The 19,288-nt window shown below is 46.1% G+C and overlaps 4 annotated features.

The window, feature by feature from the left end:
* Positions 4,308–4,357: a silencer, noted in NCBI's record as "silent region_14523". NCBI's record gives its function as "represses an Ori minimal core promoter by ATAC-STARR-seq in GM12878 lymphoblastoid cells {active_cell/tissue: GM12878}" and the evidence as "EXISTENCE:reporter gene assay evidence [ECO:0000049][PMID:35858748]".
* Positions 13,925–14,790: an enhancer, noted in NCBI's record as "H3K27ac-H3K4me1 hESC enhancer chr3:71976973-71977838 (GRCh37/hg19 assembly coordinates)". NCBI's record gives its function as "activates a minimal SCP1, AML or CMV promoter by ChIP-STARR-seq in primed H9 embryonic stem cells {active_cell/tissue: H9 hESC(primed)}" and the evidence as "EXISTENCE:reporter gene assay evidence [ECO:0000049][PMID:30033119]".
* Positions 15,989–16,856: an enhancer, noted in NCBI's record as "OCT4-NANOG-H3K27ac-H3K4me1 hESC enhancer chr3:71974907-71975774 (GRCh37/hg19 assembly coordinates)". NCBI's record gives its function as "activates a minimal SCP1, AML or CMV promoter by ChIP-STARR-seq in naive and primed H9 embryonic stem cells {active_cell/tissue: H9 hESC(naive and primed)}" and the evidence as "EXISTENCE:reporter gene assay evidence [ECO:0000049][PMID:30033119]".
* Positions 16,857–17,723: an enhancer, noted in NCBI's record as "OCT4-NANOG-H3K27ac hESC enhancer chr3:71974040-71974906 (GRCh37/hg19 assembly coordinates)". NCBI's record gives its function as "activates a minimal SCP1, AML or CMV promoter by ChIP-STARR-seq in naive and primed H9 embryonic stem cells {active_cell/tissue: H9 hESC(naive and primed)}" and the evidence as "EXISTENCE:reporter gene assay evidence [ECO:0000049][PMID:30033119]".

The following is a 19,288-nucleotide window of genomic DNA, read 5'->3' as shown; positions in this document are numbered from 1 at the left end:
GAGAGTGAATGCTTCCAGGAGCAACCCTCAGCTACTGAGGGACATGCTTCCTTGCCTTTTGGGTGGGATCCCTCTGAGTCCTGCTTTACACGGTCTCCTAAGTTCTGTCCAGTATGACACAGCCTCAGTTGTCCATAGTAGAAAGCTGATCAATAACACACCCTTTTTCAGCTGCCCTCCCTCACCATTAGACTCTCCATGCCCAGACAATGACTCTTGGGATCACCTCCCAGTGAACTACTTACATTCAAATCCTTGTCTCAGGGCCAGCTTCCAGAGGCACCCGACCTAAGACATGTAAGAAATGACAAAGTTGAAGGCCAGTCACAGTGGCCCATGCCTGTAATCCCAGCACTTTGGGAGGCTGAGGTGGGTGGATCACTTGAGGTCAGGAGTTTGAGACCAGCCTGGCCAACATGGTGAAACCCCATCTCTACTAAAACTCCAAAAATTAGCTGGGGGTGGTAGCGCACGCCTCTAATCCCAGCTACTCGGGAGGCTGAGATGGAAGAATCACTTGAAGCCAAGAGGCAGAGGTTGTGGTGAGCTGAGATTGCGCCACTACACTCCATCCTGGGAAAGAAAGGAAGAAAAAAAAAAGAAGGAGGGAGGGAGGAAGGAAGGAGGAAAAGGTATGAAAAGGAAGGAAAAGGAAAGAACAGAGCTGGGATTTGAACCAGACACTGACTCCCAAGCCAGCTCTCTGAACCATGATGCCACTGAGTCTCACACAAGTCAAACCCCTGAGCATCCATGATTCTCATTTTCAAATGCAAATATACCCCACACTAATCAGACTTAGGAATGATCTGCTGTTTGGGATTGGCCACATTTCTGATCTCTCTATTCATGGAAATCATTGAGAATTCACTAAGTAAATATGAGGCAGAGGAATATTATTCAATGTTGGTTTGCATTTTCCTCCCTGCTATCAGATAGCCAGGCTCATACTTGAACTCTGGCTTGATATTTTCTGGACCAAAGAGATAGAGTTAGCCTCAAGAAAAGAGTTGGCTGCTCTGGGCTTCAGCCAGGGACTCCTGTCATGGAGGGTCGTGAGCAGGAGCAGACCAAAGCCCTGGAGAGCAGCAGGAGCCGTTGCCACATCAGTCAGCTGGAACACAACTACCCAGGCTTATTTTTCTCCTTCTCATTTGCTCTCTTGAAAGCATCAGTGCCTTCAACAGCCTCAGCGGAGTCGACTAGGAAGCCAGAAGCTCTGGGAAAATCCACCTGGCTCTGGAGAAAGCCCCAAGCTTTTCCTCCCCATCTCCCCAGAGCCCGTTTTTGTTGTTTTTTGGGACAGGGTCTCACTCTGTTACCCAGGCTGGAGTGCAGTGGCATGATCACAGCTCACTGTAGCCTTCACCTCCCAAGCTTAAGCAATCCTCCTGCCTCAGCCTCCTGAGTAACTGGAACTACAGGTGTACACCACCATAACCAGCTAATTGTTTTATTTTTTGTTTGTAAAGAGATAGAGACAGCAAGAATCTTGCCCAGTCTGGTCTCAAACTCTGGGCTCAAGCGATCCTCCTGCCTTGACCTCCCAAAGTGCTGAGATTACAGGCATGAGCCATCACACCCAGCCAAGAAACCAATTTTAGTCTTTTCCAAAAATATATGACTACACATCACTCCCACTTTTTAAAACAGAACACCTGTTAACATCTGGTAGCGTACTCATGTTTCATCAAACAGTTTGGCAATCATCATCCTAAATTTTCTAATTACTGCCTACAACAGGATTTTGCTGATACCCATCCACGCTGGGCATCCTGTTTGTGAGACAATAAAATAGGGAAGGCACCAGTCCTCCAAGTGTCTGCCAACCTTTCCAGATTGCTGGGAAGACTAAGTGAGTGATGAGTGCTGAGTGAAGTATGAAGCTTCACAGATGTCTGTTATTGTTACTGCTTGTCAACTCTCAACAGTGGTTTTGTTTTTAAGGATTGCTAATAAGGGAGCTTCTAATAACTGTGCTTGTGGGAGTGTCAGGAAGTAGACTCTGGGATACAGGGTGTGCCCCACATGCTCTTGAGGTTTATACCCAAGGAAAGGAGGAGAAGGAAGCTGGACTGGGCAGAGGGAGAAGCTGGTTTGCAATGCACCCTGTTGATGGCTAAATGCCCCCAAGGGGCACTCTGGAGCTGGGCTGGCCATTCAGCGTCAACCCTAGTTGGGATGAAGGGAATGGGCCTTTACCTCCGCACCTTGATCAGTCATTGGATACAACACCCACCTGCTGGACTCATCAGAGCCAGTCCCTGCATCGGGCTACCAGCAGTCAGGGTGTAAGTCCCTCATTCCTGAAGGGGGACTAGGTGACGCACCACAGTGTCCACAAAATAACATTCTATAAGTTTCAAGGAGATAAACATTCCATTTCTTCACCTCTTTTAGAATATCAAGTGGCAATCCAATCTAACTCTTTACTGGGGAGTTGATTCACGTCTTGCTTTCTGGAACTGACTTTTCAATACCAAACAGGTACATGTGCCAAGAGATGCCAAATCAAAGCCTTCCTTTGATATGTGGCCATTAGGGAATGCCAGATTGTCCCTTCCAATGGAACCACTTTCTCCTTTCAATTAGCTAAAGGGCCTCTCAGTAGTTTTCTTCCCCAACATACATAGACCTTGCCTTCTAAAATGGACTTCTGTACCCTTCTTCTTTGTAAGGAGTTGTGCTGGGCATTCTCCCACTTTTTCCACCCCATTCCGTGTCTCAGGTGGGACTGATCTCCAAGGCTGCATCAGTGAGCTCCCTTACTTTCCAGCTTCTATTCTGATTCAGCCAATGGGAGGCACCAATAGGAGAATGTTGAGGGGAACAGAAAGAGATTGGGTTATTTCTTCCTCCTGACTTCCTCAGTCCCTAGCCAAGGGCAGAGGCCATGCTCCTTTTTCCAAGGCCACAGTTCCTCTCAGCTCCACTGTTGGAGTCATGGCTCTTGTTAGTTCCAGAAACTGTTCCTTCCCTTTAGCCCTTCAGGACTGGATCTGTGGAAAGGGAAGCAGCTCCTCTCTGTATTAGCTGGGCTGTGCTTCCTTGTTCCTCCTCAGTTTTCCTTATACCTCCATTTGTAAGATGAATCTTTATGAACACCTCCTTAATCACCCCTTTGTGCTTTTTCTGCCAGGACCCTGACTCACACACAACCCCATCCTATTGTCCAGAAATGAAATAGTTTCACCCAGGATTTCCCAAGATTCCTGAAAGGCCAGGAACCAGACAGAATATGTATGTCTTTGTCTTTGGAGGTCTACATTGAGGTCCCTGAAGCTCAGCATTGCAGACTCTTCTCTGCTTTCTCTCTATTTTATCTTTGATCTTTAGAACAACGTTTCTCAACCATTTTAAAAGGCACACTGCCCATTCAGGATCACTCAAAGACCTGCTTTATCTGGCTCTTCTCTTTGTCCCTCCCATTATATCATTCTTCAATAAACGTCTGTGGCCAGGTGCAGTGGCTCACACCGCGAATCCCAGCACTTTGGGAGGCCAAGGTGGGAGGATTGCTTGAGTCCAGGAGTTCAAGACCAGCGTGGGGAACATGACAAGACCCTATCTCTACAAAAAAATTAAATAAATAAAATTATCCAGGTGTAGCAGCACGTGTCTGTGGTCCCAGCTACTCAAGAGGTTGAGGTGGGAGGATTGCTTGAGCCCTGGAATTTGAGGCTGCAGTGAGCTGTTGATCATGCCACTCTACTGCATCCTAAGCAACAGAGCAATACTCCATCTCAAAAATAAAAAATGTCTATAGGAAGAATTAATGAATGTCTAAGCCTCAGTTTCCTCGCTTGCAAAAATGAGGGGAATAACCCTCCTAAAAAGCTTTTAAGTTAGGTGTCATTATTAGTACAATTTTACAAAGGTAGAAATTGAAGATCAGAGAAGATAAGGATTTGCTCAAGGTCACACAGCTAGGAAAGAGCAAGATCAGAAATGGAACCAAGGGCTTCTGACTGAGTCTGGGGCTCTTGATATGGTACCACAGCCTGCTACATTTCCAGATTAATAAAAAGAAACCAGTGCACCCTCAACCACTTTAAAAGGCACACTGCCCATCCAGAATCACTCGAAGGCCCACATTATGTGGCTCTTCTCCATCTTCTCCTGAACAGTCAGGAATTGAGATTTCTGAGGGCAGATAGATTATAGATGATTGATAGATAGATATGCAGCTATATATATTATATGGTTTAACTGTGTTCCCACCCAAATCTCATCTCGAATTGTAGTTCCTGTAATCCCCACGTGTCATGGGAGGGACCAGGTGGAGGTCATTGAATCATGGGGGTGGTTTCCCCTGTTCTCATGACAGTGAGTTAGCTCTCATGAGAGCTGATGGTTTTATAAGGGGCTTCCCCCTTTGCTAGGCACTCATTCTCTCTCCTGCTACCCTGTGAAGAGGTGCCTTCCACCGTGATTGTAAGTTTCCTGAGGCCTCCCCAGCCATGTGGAACTGTGAGTTAATTAAAACTCTTTTTTAACAAAATAAGTTATGCAGTCTCTGGTGTTTCTCCATGGCAGCGAGAGAATGGGTTGATACAATATATGTTTTTTCTTTTTAATTATCCTCTAAACACACACACACACACACACACACACACACACACAGAAGAAGGCTGCCCTTAAGTTCCTCTAGGGGTGTGGGGTGAAAACATCCCCCTTCTTGTTGTCATCATGGCTCTGGAGGTCTGCTATCATGCAGCCCCTTTGTCCGTCTTTGCAATAGTTCCAGGGTCCTTACCTTACTTCCCTGAAGCTTTCATTAAAAGGGTGAGTCACATGGCTATTGAAAGGTGCAGAACATAGGTGGATTGTAATTTGAGCTACATAATTGCAAATGAACATGTTTTTAAACTCAGAACTTCAGTTTTCTCACTGTAAAATAGGAAAAGATATTTACTTCACAGGTGACAGTGAGAGTCAACTGAAAAAAAAATACCCAGTACTACGCCTGTTGTAGAGTAACTGTTCAGTAAATATTAAATCCCATCCTACCCACCTCCAGGGTTTCCCAACCACTTCCCGGGCCTCAGAAGAGTCTCACTGTGTTGGGTAGGGGGTCCGTGGACGGCAGGGACCTGTGGATGTACAACCTTGCTTTGCCATTTTAGAGGAATATCAGCCGAGGTGTGGAAGGGAGTTATGTCAGGCCCTGTTCTTTGCTAGGGAATGTTCTGCTAGGTCGGGACACTGTGAGTAGAGCTTCAGCAATCCCAGTGTGCGGCTCCACAGCGACTTGTCGCACCTGCCAGCCACCATCTGATGGGAATTACCTGAGAGCCACGACCGTGAAGCCATTCACAGGAACTCATTCTTCCAGGGGGTCAGCAACGGAAATGACCAGGACCAGAAGAGATACAAATCTGGTGGGATTTAACCTGATGAATGCCGGGCTTTCCTAGCCCATGGGGCCTTGTAGAACCCCAGGTGGAGGTGGAGGTGGAAGGATCTAGAGGTTGTTTAGTTATAAAGAATGATAACCTACTCACATTGGCTACTTGAGTGGAATTTAAGGAAATGCTCACCTGCCAGCCTTATCAGAAGGTAGGAGCCAGGCATCTCTCTGAAGCAGAAGTCTAGACATTCTAAAGTTGCGCCATTAAAGTAACTAAACGGCCAACTCTCTCATCTCTGTTTCTTGATTCAGAGAGAGAGAGAGAAATATTTAAGCGGCAAGAAGCCAACCAAAGCTCGCTCCTGGCCGAACAGCTGCAGAAGAGGGGTGGGCTTACGCAGGTCCCATTAGGCTGAAGGGGCCTTCCTTCCCCCGTGGCTGAAGGAAAAGAATTCTCAGAGACGGATGCAGACAACTGGCCAGAACCCCACAGCTTGTCTGCCACAATAAGCAAGTTCTACTTAGTAGCCTTTTACATTTAGGCAGGGCTCCATTTCTGTTTAAATTGGGGAAGCTTTAAACTTTATTCGCAAAGGGTTTTCTAGAATACCTTTTAGCTTCCTGACCGCTCAATCCTGCCACAGGACTTTTGAAAACTCTGCTCCCTCTGCCTGGAAAGCCCCTTCTAGCCTCCAACCCCTTCCATGGCCTGGTACTCCTCCTCCTCTGCAGCTCTCTAATTGGATGTCCTATCACCGACCCTCAGAGGAGCTCACGGTCATCAGTTTCACGCTCCGGTAATATGCTATGCTTTTCTTTCGCTGAGTTTATCACACGTGCAATGACCTGTTTGTTTTAATTATTTCATGTCTGTCCCTTAGACTAGGCTACAAGCTCTAAGAGGGCAAGGGCTGTTTCTTATGTACCACTTTATCTCCGTTGTCTGGTACATTGCTGGGAACAGGTAGGTGCTTGCTATATTTTCCCTCTTCCTTGTGCTAAACTCATGAATCCTCCCAATAACCTTTATTATCCACTTTTATGGTAAAGACACAGGTTCAGAGAGTGCAAATGATGTGCTGTGGGGTAAACACACCTAATAGCAATAGCTTCATCACACCCTTAGACTGACCCTGTATGGCAGATGCTCCTGAATGTGTGTTCCGAACTAGGGAATCCGGGGGTGACCAGCCCAGATATCATTCCTGATCTATAAACATCTGAGCCCCTGGCCTGTCCTGTGGCACACAGGCCGTACAGGGGATCGAGGCCCTGAGTTTGGGGTCAAATGAAGGTTGCCAAGTGGAGGTCGTTAGGGGAAGGGTGTTAAGTGAAAATACTGCATAAACTGCATGTTGTGTGCAGGGGGTTGCGGTTCTCCTGCCCAGCCCGCTGCTGCTGGACTCTCCCCTGTACGGAAGCCCCAAATAAAATCTCATGTCTCCTTTGCCGGCTCTGTCTTCAGCGTCTTGAATCCGCTGAGGTTAAGAGGGGTTCAGCACAACTAAAGCCACACAGCTGGGAAGATGCAGAACCAGGCAGGGCATCTCTCAGACCCCAAAGCCTGAGCTTTTTTATGATTCCATGCTGCTTCTCACATAGACCAGATATGTCTTATTTCAAGATCTGAAGAATCTCCACAATTAGTCTGAATGCCCACATGTGTGGCATTTTGCTTTTAAATCCACGGGCCTTAGAAGCAGCAGTTCTCAGAGTGAATCTGTAAATTGGTTTCAGGTACCCCAAATCTCAGGCACCCAGCATGTTTAAAAGCCCCAGTACCCAGCCCCACTTGCAGGGCTAGGTGAGACTCTAGTACTTGCAGTATCAACAAGCACCCCCAGGTGCTTCTAATGCACAGCCAGGTTGAAAAACCAGTGCCTTAGGGTACCTGGTGCTTGTCTGATTTTTCTGTTTTTGCTGTGATTACCTGGAGGGGGTTGGTAAAGGGAGTGTTGAAGCTTGCAGTGAAGAAAAGCCAAAGCTTAGCTTTTTATTCAAAAGAAATGCCTACTGCTCCAGGAAGATAGCAGGGGGGCATCTGAGTTGTCATTTGAATTGCTGGGATGAGGACAGGGTCTCTACTTCACGCCTTGGCGGTCTCACTAGCTCCAGTTCCTAGGAACAGGTGGGTCTCACAGGCAGGCTTATGGGCTCCAGAATTGGCTTGTAAATAACTCATACGGCACAGCTGGGTTTCTGGCCTCATAAATATTGACCAGCTGTGATTAACCGTCCACTCCGGATCACATTATCTAGTGGGAAAGCTCCTTTATTAGGGTATTAAATAAGCATGAGGCCGTGCCTGTTCTGTACAACAGCTTTCCCCTGTGAAGTATGATGCTCTGGCCAGGTGATCTCTACCCAGGCAGGTAAAAGAGAACCATCAATTCCATTAAACAAGGTATTAATTGAGCACTTGCTATCTGCTTGGCATTCAGCCAGAGACTGGGGAGATTATGGTGAATGAGATATTTAATGAGTCACAAAATACGTTCAAAATAAGCTCACCTCTCTAAAACTGCCTAAAATGACGTCAGAGAAAGGTGTGGATGAGAAGGAACCAGGACACTGTTAGTCTAAGACTTTATTTAAAAATGCGGGTGTATTCATTTCCCAATTCTCATTAGTTGCCTTCCACCCAAATGAGACCAACCCGAGCTTGCTACAGGAAGGGAGTCAGCCACCATCATGTGTGTTTGACAGAGACGCAAAAGCAGGCAGAGGAGCCAGAAAGCTTTGTAAAGGGAAGAAGGAGAAGATTTCAGCCCTGATTCAGGTTGTTGGCATGGGAGGTGGGCTAACGAGAAGTGGGGCAATCCTATGTGATGGGCTAGCGTGCATCTTTGGCTTCCTCTGATTGGGCCTAAGTTGAACATGGGGACACAAGTTGGGGAAGCTGTCAGTTACTGATGATATCCTGGCCACTTGGGGCTGATTGCTACAGCGGTTGTTGTGTGGCATCCTGGGCTGGTTACTACAGACAGGAGGCTAACTTTCTGGACTAGTTGCTGTAGGCAGTAGATTGGCTTCCTGGGCTGGTTGCTTCAGGTTGTGGATCAGAGGTCGGCTTTATATGTTGTCTGGCCATGGTCTATTTGTATATTCAGTCTCATAGGACTGCCATAACAAAGTCTCACAAATTGAGTGGCCTAAAGGAACAGAAATGTATTCTCTCTCAAGGCTGGAGACTAGGAGTCTAAAATCAAGGGGTCAGCAGGGCCACTTCCTCTCTTCCTAGCTCCTGGTTGCTATAATTGGTGGTGTTTCTTGGTTCGTAGCTGCATGACTCCCATAGCTGCCTCTGTGATCACGTGTTTCTCTTCCTCCTGGGCATCCGTGTTTTCACATGGCCGCCTCCTCATCTGTGTGTCTGTCTCGGTTCCTCTGCTCCTCTCATGAAGACTCCAATCATGTTGGATTAAGGACTCACCCTAATTCATTATAAATTCATCATAAGTTGATTGCATCTGCAAAGACCCTAATTCCAAATTAGAGCATGTTCACAGGTACCAGGGTTGGGACTTGAACATAGGTTTTTGGGGGACACAATTCAAACCACAATACTGTGTACTCTTAAGAAGGCTCCGAAGAGATGCCAGGAGCACATGCTGATGGTTTTATGGGGCTTTGGCAGGAATAGTCAGCCAATGTTTAAGTTTCTGGAAGAGTCAAGGAGGATTCTAGAAGAAAAAGGAATTGTCCTGGTGGTTTAGCGGTCGCTGTTTCAACAGTATGGATCTTACCAAGAGGAGTGGGGAGATGCAGTCAGAGGTTTAGGTCTTGTGCTGTGGAGTGGGTGGGAGGAACAGCTGGGAGGACAAAGACACTCAGGGGCCCCAGTGGAAAAGTGTCTCTCATGAGGTCACCTAGAGATGGCAATAATAGGTCAAAGGCCTACATGGTACCCAGGCAAAACCATCAGTGATGCTGATAATCATGGCCAAGATCGGATGCTTAGAAATGAGAAGAGATGGATACAGGGCTTCCCATGACAAGAGCAGCCTCATCGCCATCCCTGCAGTTTTTAGCCTTATAGGGTGCATTCATTTACTCGGGCTGCCATAACACAGTACCACAAATTGGGTGGCTTAAAACAATAGAAATTTATTCTCTCACACTAATAGCTACAAGTCCAAAATCACGGCATTGGCAGGTTCATTCCCTCTGGAGGAGAATGTGCTCTGTGCATTTTCCTAGTTTCTGGTAGGAACCAGCAGTCCTTGATATGCCTTGATTCCTAGATGCGTCACTCCAATCTCTGCCTCCGTCTTTACACGGCGTTTTCCCTCCGTGTCTGTCTATATGCAGATTTTCCTCTTCTCAAAAGGACACACTTTGTATCGGATCAGGGCCCACCCTAATGACCTCATCATAACTTGATTACATCTACAAAGACCCTATTTCCAGGTAAGATCACATTTACAGGTTCGGGGGTTAGGACTTCAACGTATCTTGTTGGAGAATACAATTCAACTCACAATACAGAGGATAGAGGACATAATACAGTGTTGTAAATGCTGTAATGGAGAGTGGGGAGGCCCGGGAGCACTGTAGGGAAGGGCCTGGGCTTACAGGGACTGGAAAGGCTTCCTGGAGGAGGCGCCATCAAACGGAGACCTGTGGATGACTAGGCACTAGAGAGGTAAAATGAGTTCCAGGAAGGAACAGCACATGCACAGACCGGGAGAAAGGGAAAAGCATGGTACGTTACAGGATAAGCAGTTCAGACTCGTTAGATCAGAAAGAACGAGAGAATAATGGCACAAGAGGAGCATGATAAAAGAGAGATGGAACTGTGCCAGCTGGAACTTTCCTGAGCAGCAGACACTTGGGAAAGAAGAGAGATGCACGGAAGAATCTTTATTTGTAGGAATTCTTTTTCTTACCTCAAGTGTCTGAGAGTCATCATTTCTATATGCAGTGCAAACTGCAATGATATAGTTTGGCTCTATCCTCTCCCAAATCTCACCTTGAATTGTAATACTCCCCACAGGTCAAGGGTGGGGCCAGGTGAAGATAATTGAATCACCGGGTGGTTCCTTCATGCTGTTCCCGTGGTCGTGAATAAGTTTCACAAGATCTGATGGTTTTATACATGAGAGTTCCCCTACACAAACTCTTTTGCCTGCTGCCATGTAAGACACGTCCTGCTTCCCCTTTGCTTTCCGCTATGATTGTGAGGCCTCCCCAGCCATGTGGAACTGTGAGTCAATTAAATCTCTTTCCTTTAGAAATTACCCAGACTCAGGTATGGCTTTATTAGCAGCATGAGAACAGACTAATACATGCAAGCTTGGAGATCTAAACAGAAGGACCTGGTGGCAAGCTTCCAGAGCTGATATAAAATAAGATGGCATTTGTTTCATTGGTCAGTAGCTACTACACACTGGCCATGTCGCAGTGTAAGCAAAAATCCATATTGCGCCTATCCTCCAGGCTATTAACAATCTGTCTACTGGGAGAGAGACAGTAACCAAATAATCCTTCAAATAAATGTTTAATTACAAATTCAGATAATAACATAATGGTAGGATTAGATTTGCAGGATTTTTTTCCATTTTTAAGAATCACAGTGGTTTAAATATTAGCAGTTTTTCTCTCTCATAAATAAAATTCAGAGATGGCTGGTACAGCGACTCTACAGTCATCAGGAACTCAGGCCCCTTCGGTCCTCTGGCCCATAATTTTTAGCATATCTCATGGTGCTAGATGGCCACAGGAGCTCCAGGCATCAGGTTCATATTCCAGGAAGGCTGAAGAACAAAACGCTATACCCCTTTAAAGAGCTTTCCTGTGAGTATTAACCAATCAAATTCCACTTACATGTCCTCATCAGAACCCTGTTACATGGCCACCTATCTGCAAGAGAGGCTGGAAATAATAGACTTTAACTGGGCTCATGTCACCCTAAAATAAAATCATGATTCTAAAACCAAGGACAAAAGGCAGAAAGGATATTGTGTGGGGAGTCGGATCCCTCTATCACATGAAACAAAGGAACGCCATTCTCCCAGGGAGTGATGCCTATGTTGAAAGATATAGGATGAGGAGGGGCTAACCATGTGAAAGGGGGAGGGACGTAGGTCTCCCCATAAACTAAACAGGCTAATGTAGCTGGACCATGGATGGGAAGATGAGGTACTGAGAGATAAAACAGGGCAAGGTAGGCAGAGACCTGATGAACCCGGGCCTTGTTAAGATGTGGGGCTTTATTCTAAGTGCACTGGAAGCTGCTAAGGAGTATTAAGTAGGAGATAATACCCTTTAGCAGGTGGTCTGATCATCTCTGTGTGTTTTGAGTGCCTACAATGTGCATGGTGCAGGGTACTGGTGATACAGAGTTATAGCGTCCGCTCGCTGGTGGAGCCTGGTTTGGGGGAGAGCAGCTGCCTTCTGGATTAGAGCTCACAGAACCATATGCCCAGCTGTGTGCAGGGAAGTGTGGGTGTCAGCAAAGGGTTAACCTCAGAGCCACCTGTTGGTAGTTGAATGCAATTTCAGCAAGATGAAGGGGAGGACAAGAACATGCCAGGCAGAGCTGGCCCAAGCGCTGCAAGTGTCCAGTGTCGAGGATCTGCCAATTACAGGTGATTTCTGGAGGAAGACCAAGAGATGAGACTTAAAGTCAGTCAGTCAGAGGTTAGATCACTAAAGGTCTTGTGTGTCAGGCTAAGGGGCTGAATGTTAGCGAGCCATGGAAGGGTGTTGAGTCAGGGAGTGACATGATGCAAGCTATGTTCTAGCACATCAGCACTGGCAGCAGCATGCAGGAATGCAGAGGAGGAAGGAATGCATAGTTACTGAAAAGAGGAGGTTGCTTTTTGTGCACTTGAACTTCTGCCTGTTGGGATCCTGGCTAATTTTATCCTTGTTGGCAGACACCTACTCGGACTACTCCTCCCTGTGAAATACAGAAGCCGAGACCTACATTCCCTTATCTGAAATTCTGAAATCCAGAAAGCTCTGAAAACAAATTTTTTTTTTTTTTTGGTGATTCATTTGATGACCAAACCTGAGCCTAAACTAAACTCATTCATCCCGACTCTGTCTGGCATAATGTAACTTAATCTATTTAGTCCACTTAATGTGAATATTAATGTTTTCCTGTGTAGAAGGATTAATGAGTTCAATGATCGGTGTTAAATAATAAATGGCATACATAGAGTATTGCCTTTCTAACATTCAAAAAATCCTAAATTTCATAACACATCTGGCCCGAGTGTTTTTGTTTGTTTGTTTGTTTGTTTGTTTGTTTTTTGAGATGAACTCTCACTCTGTTGCCCGGGCTAGAGTGCAGTGGCGAAATCTCGGCTCGCTGCAACCTCCGCCTCCCGGGTTCAAGCAATTCTCCTGCCTCAGCCTACTGAGAAGCTGGGACTACAGGTGCCCGCCACCACACCCGGCTCATTTTTGTATTTTTAGTAGAGAGAAGGTTTCACCATGTTGGCCAGCCTGGTCTCGAACCCCTGACCTCAGGTGATCCGCCCGTCCCAGCCTCCCAAAGTGCTGGGATTACAGGTGTGAGCCACTGTGCCCAGCCTGGCCAAGAGTTTTAGATAAAGGATTGTAGTTACCATATATAAGCAAGAAGTTCTGAAACAGCAGGAGAATTTGCTCTAACTAGGGGATTGTTTTAGCAGATAAAAGGAGAATCTACTTCATGCAAAAGACAGTAAACTTATGGACCTCATATTTCTTTTTTTTTTTTTTTTTTTTTTTAATCATTCTTGGGTGTTTCTCACAGAGGGGGATTTGGCAGGGTCATAGGACAATAGTGGAGGGAGGGTCAGCAGATAAACAAGTGAACAAAGGTCTCTGGTTTTCCTATGCAGAGGACCCTGCGGCCTTCCGCAGTGTTTGTGTCCCTGGGTACTTGAGATTAGGGAGTGGTGATGACTCTTAAGGAGCATGCTGCCTTCAAGCATCTGTTTAACAAAGCACATCTTGCACCACCCTTAATCCATTTAACCCTGAGTGGACACAGCACATGTTTCAGAGAGCACAGGGTTGCGGGTAGGGTCACCGATCAACAGGATCACAAGGCAGAAGAATTTTTCTTAGTACAGAACAAAATGAAAAGTCTCCCGTGTCTACCTCTTTCTACACAGACATGGCAACCATCCGATTTCTCAATCCTTTCCCCGCCTTTCCCCCCTTTCTATTCCACAAAAACGCCATTGTCATCATGGCCTGTTCTCAATGAGCTGTTGGGTACACCTCCCAGACGGGGTGGTGGCCGGGCAGAGGGGCTCCTCACTTCCCAGTAGGTGCGGCCGGGCAGAGGCGCCCCTCACCTCCCGGACCGGGCGGCTGGCCGGGCGGGGGGCTGATCCCCCCACCTCCCTCCCGGACGGGGCAAATGGATCATAGAAAGTATAAAATAAATAGGCTCAGAGAACATTTTCCTACCTTTATGGATGATAAATCAACAAGAGGTTAATAAGAAAGACTTAGGGCTACCCAGGATGCCACCACTACATTTATAAAGTTAGTATCACAGAGAATAACTAGCATCTACTCCCATAAGGCCAGTGGCATTATTGTTTTTGATAACAAACATATATTTATATGATGCTTCGGATTGTATCAGGTATTGTTGCAAATGCTTTCTCCTTTAATTCTTGTAAGAACCATGATGAATGGATGTTGGCATTCCCAATCTACAGCCAAGGGCTTCAAACTCAGAGAAGGTAGGAAATTTGTTCAAAGGCACTCAGCCAACATTTACACATAGGGCCTGGATTAGGTTCTTCTGAATCTGAGATCTGTGATCTTATTTTCAACAAACAATAACATTCTTGGATGAAGGGTAACAACTTTTAAAAAGCCTGCTACAAAGAGGCAGCACGATAAAATTTATCTCACAAGCCCAGTCCAACTCATAAATTGTGGCTGAATGACATCCTCAGTTGAGGATTTCAAAATTGTTTCGAGGCCTAACAAGAACTTTGATAATTTACCAGGCCTGACAAGGACTTTGACTATCTATTAGCTTTGATTACCAAGGTACAAAATGGAAGCATGGCAAATGGGTGGATTGCTATTCTTTTTTAATTATACTTTTATTTTTTGGAGATATGGGATCTTGCTATGCTGCTGCCCAGGTTGGTTTCAAACTCCTGGCCTCAAGCAATGCTCCCACCTCAGCTCCCCAGAGTGCTGGGATTACAGGCATTAGCCTTTATGCCTGGCCCTACTGTGCATGTTTAAGGGTTGACTTTACTTTGTTTCATTTAGTCAACAAAAAAACGTCCCTTAGGTGTTTACTGGGTGCAAGGCACTGCAGGATGCTGAGGCTGGCTAGCTCTATGAAGGCTCAGTCCCTGCCCTCGAGGAACTTAGAAAAGTCTCACTGCTGCTCCAATTGTGTAGGAAAAGTGATGCGTGATGCAATAATACTACAGACCCACAAGCCCAAAGAGGGACTTGGAGAAGCAAAGTGAAGATGGTGCTACCAACATAGTCTAGACTTCAGAAGAGAGTGTGTTCTCCTACAAACCACATTAACAGCTCGGGCTTTGGAATTGTACAGGCTTGTGTCCAAAACCTAGTAACTAGAGTGACACCCAGGAAGGGGCTTAGCTTATCTAGATTTCAGTTTCTTCATCTGTTTGAAACGGAAGAAAAAAGGAAATAGCGACCTCAGAAATTTGTCCAGACTTAAAACAACTTGTAGGAATAACAGCTATGATTTGTTGAGTAGTTTTATGCACTGGGCCTTGTTTTAAACTCTTTACAGTGAGCGCTCAGAACGTGGCTATAATAGCCATAGTATTCTTGCTGCCTCTGACGTTGTTACTAAGAACTCTTCTGGGACTGGTTTCTTCCATTCTGTCCAATCTCTACCGCTGACTCTGTGATTTTCGAACAAGTCACTTCTACAGGGACTCAATTTTTCTTTTTACAGAGTTTGCTGTTAAAAAAAAAACTTGGATTAGATGAGAGGCTAAAACCTGAGGATCTTTTTTAAAAAACCCAGATTCTTGGGCTCCATGTCATAAAGATTCAGATTGGCTAGTTCTGGAGTCAGGCCTGGGAATCTGCATTGCTTTTAACTTAATGATGAAAAAGTACAAATAGACTCAATACTAAGAAAGGCAATGGCCCCGTTAAGTATACGTTGGCCAGCTTCAATAGTCACCAAGGCTTTGTTGTATTTGTTTGATCTATCCTATGCAGGCTGTTCTTCATTCGCCACCCCCAGAGCAGGTCCACTATACCCTGCTCTGAGCCTCAGGAAGGATGAACTCAACAACTGTTTTCACCAGGTTCCCTTGCCTTTTGTCTCCAGCAGGGACTGGAAATTAGGAGGAGAGCAAGGTTGGGCCATGCATTTCTCTGGCTCCCCCTTCCTTGGGCGTTGGCAATGGCTATGTCCCTCCACCCCAGGGCACAGCTGAAGGCAGCCAGCCTTCCCTGGCAGCCTGCATCTGTCCATAGCGTCTTAACGATTCCCGCCCCTTGACACTTCAGGTCTAAGAATTGTGGTTTCCCTAGTGTTGCTTATTTCACCCTTTTTTGATTTCCCTAAGCCCTGCCCACATCTTTAGAAACAGCAAATGCTCTCTAATTACCTAATTTGCATATGACATTATTTTCCATGGGGACTAACCCTCTTTTTATTCGTGCCTGAATATTCTAAAGCAAATCACTCTGCATCACAAATGCAATGATCACATTCAGCAAGACAATAATTTTAATGTCATCTACAGGCAGCCATCTGTATATTTCAAGTGCCCCTTTGGTACCTCTGAGCAGTCATGTTTGGGAATCACTAGCCTATCTTTGTGTGCTTTTTCCCTCTCAAATGATCTGCCTCTTGGATATGCAGAGAATATCCCAGTTTATAGATTTGAGTCAGTCTCCACCTGGTGGCAGGAAAGCTCACCTGGATTGTAGGCTGGTAAATGAGAACCCGGTTATGTCAATGAGGTGGTGTTGCCATGGGAACTGCCCTAGACCATTTAGGAAGTGGCTTGAACACTTAGGCCTCGATCTATCCATAGGCTGAACAATCAGGTGGACACTGAACCAAACATTCCACCTAACTATGTATCTTCCTTCCTCGGGGACAGGTATGGCCACTCATAGGACCAAAAAGACAAGTCATAAGCTATGTATTATACAGGTTACTGTATGACTAATAAAAAGGGCGAATTTGGGAAGTGGTTAGAGAAAACACTGTAGTGATGACCAAATGTAATTTTAGTAAGTTTACCTGTTTGAATTAGGCTTGGGAATCAAAACACAGACTACTCACTTGGTGACAGAGGTCAGGCACTATGTTTCATGCGCGTCTGTGTGAAGAGACCACCAAACAGGCTTTGTGTGAGCAATAAAAGCTTTTAATCACCTGGGTGCAGGCGGGCTGAGTCCGAAAAGGGAGTCAGCGAAGGGAGATAAGGGTGGGGCCGTTTTATAGGATTTGGGTAGATAAAGGAAAATGACAGTCAAAGGGGAGTTGTTCTCTGGCGGGCAGAGTGGGGGTCGCAAGGTGCTCAGTGGGGGAGCTTTTGAGCCAGGATGAGCCAGGAAAAGGACTTTCACAAGGTAATGTCATCACTTAAAGCAAGGACTGGCCATTTTCACTTCTTTTGTGGTGGAATATCATCAGTTAAGGCAAGGACCGGCCATTTACACTTCTTTTGTGGTGGAATGTCATCAGTTAAGGCGGGGCAGGGCATATTCACTTCTTTTGTGATTCTTCAGTTACTTCAGGCCATCTGGGCGTATACATGCAAGTCACAGGGGATGCGATGGCTTGGCTTGGGCACAGAGGCCTGACACTATGAGGTTAATAAAATATTTTAAGATCCTTAAAAATAACAAAAAGTCATTATTCCACCCCAAACATGGGAACCTGCCCTCCCCTAATGCTCTGCAAGGAAATCTCTCCCAATACTTATTCCAGGGAGTCGTTTCTCTTGCTTGAGTCTTACCTTAGATCAAACTTGTAATTACACGTTTTGGTCTTTGAACATTTGATTCGCTTTTTCAGGTTTAAGATGAAAAAGATCCATTAACCACTCCTTGGGCCTTTCCCAGAAAGAAGGAAGTTGTGGACTGTGGCCAGTTGGAGAGGCAACAGGTTGGCACTGTGAGATGTCTAGGCAGATCTGCACGTAAGTGGACAGGACTGAGCAGGTCATTGCCTATCTCTAGGACAAAGGCCACTCCTCTGCCCTTATTCTGGAGACTTTAGTATCTCAGTGAGTTCTAAGGAACTGTTTCATCCTCACTGTACTAAATTACAATCCTGAATGAAGAGCTTGGCCAGCAAAACTCCATTCAAGTTTAGAGCAGCAGGAATTGGCTGGGGATCAAAGCATCTCATTTCTTAAAGGCAAGTCACCAGGGGCATATGGCTGGGTATTTGGTGGGTCGGTTGCAGACAATGTTTTCCTTGTTAGCTTTGCTACATAAAAGTCTTTTCTGCTGAGGCAGGCAACTTATTCTAGTTTTCAAAGCAAATCCTTCTGCGACCAGGTTGCTAAAACCTAAGCAATCCTCAGAGGCTTTGCTGATCACCCCTTCATTAGGGCATCCCACCATGCAATTACCACGCGAGAGCAACCTTGAGCCCTGCAGACACAGATTTTTGCCCTTAAGCACTTGAGTAAGGAAATTAGGCCAGACTCAAGCTGTAGTCCATTTTGGCTAAAGGAGAAAGGCTCACCTACCTGTCAGCTACAAATTACCTTCGCCCCACCCCTCACTTCTTGATCATCTGCTTTGCACTCCCCCATTGCTTCTACCTGGGACTGCACGTGTCACTTGATCTGCTGGACAGGAGCAGTCATGGGAAACAGGCTGTGTACCAAGACCTGCAGATTTGCAGGTGGTTAAGAGAGATGTTGGGCTTCAAAAATCATGTGCACACGGGATCCTTTAAGATGATCTGCAGAAGGAAGGGGAAGGAACAATTATTTCAGGAGACCCCCCCACTCCTGAAGACACAGGAGCTGAAGCAGCTGTCTGCTCTAAGCTGTTATTAGGGGGCGCTTATGCGGTGTGGATTCCCAGATGCCAGACCCAGAGGTCCTAATTCAACAGGCCTGGAGCATCTGCATCTCTAATAAGCTGCTCTCCCTTGTGATTTAGGACCAGGAGATGTGGTAACCTAGCTCAAGTCCTTCCATCTTGTCCTGGTGATCTGCCTTGAGTTTAGAACTGATGAACACATGTGCCTAAAAGCCTTTGAATTTTCTGGGCAAGTCAGAATGATTTACTGGGGGCAAGTCGGTTTTATATCCTTAGATTGTGCCACTGGGGCATCAGACATCTGGATCAATTAGGAAAAGTCATTGCTTTAAGGTAAGAGAAGGCCCTCATTAAAATGCAAACATTAGCTGAGCCCTGAGTGATGCTAGCAGCGCTTAGGACACTATGCAGTCTGCAGTGGGAAGGGACAAATGCTTAAAGTTTAGGAGTGCTGGCTTTGCTGAGTTGGGGTCCACTCAGTCACCTCACTAGCCCTGTGAGTCTCAGGCAAGTTCTTTAACTTGGATTGTCCATCCATTAAATGGGGATGATGACAACCTCATAGGGATGATGCATATAAATGGCTGACCTCTGTATATGGCCCAGGCTATGCCTTGGTGTCATGTCAGACCCCTACTAACTCCAACAGGGATGGCACCAGGCTCCAGAGGCCAAGAAAGAGACCCAGAGCCCATAAACAAGATCTGGGGTTTCATCAGGGGAAACCTTACAGGGAGGGTCCGTGGTGGTGGGCTGAGCAGGAAAACTGCAACTGCTTGCAAAAAGCAGGCAGTTTATATAGCACCCTCACTTAGCACCCTCCACCTAACACCTCCACCTCGCAAATTTCATTTAACCCAAAACAAAGGGCCTCAATCCCCTGCACAGCCCGTGTTCTGCTGGACAGGCCGGGGGCTCAGATGTTCCTCATAGATGAGGAACGGATCTCCAGGT

Source organism: Homo sapiens, chromosome 3 (assembly GCF_000001405.40).
Source record: "Homo sapiens chromosome 3, GRCh38.p14 Primary Assembly".
NCBI classification, from domain to species: domain Eukaryota; kingdom Metazoa; phylum Chordata; class Mammalia; order Primates; family Hominidae; genus Homo; species Homo sapiens.
The sequence above is the reverse complement of the archived record's forward strand: the minus strand, read 5'-3'. Positions and strand labels throughout refer to the sequence as shown.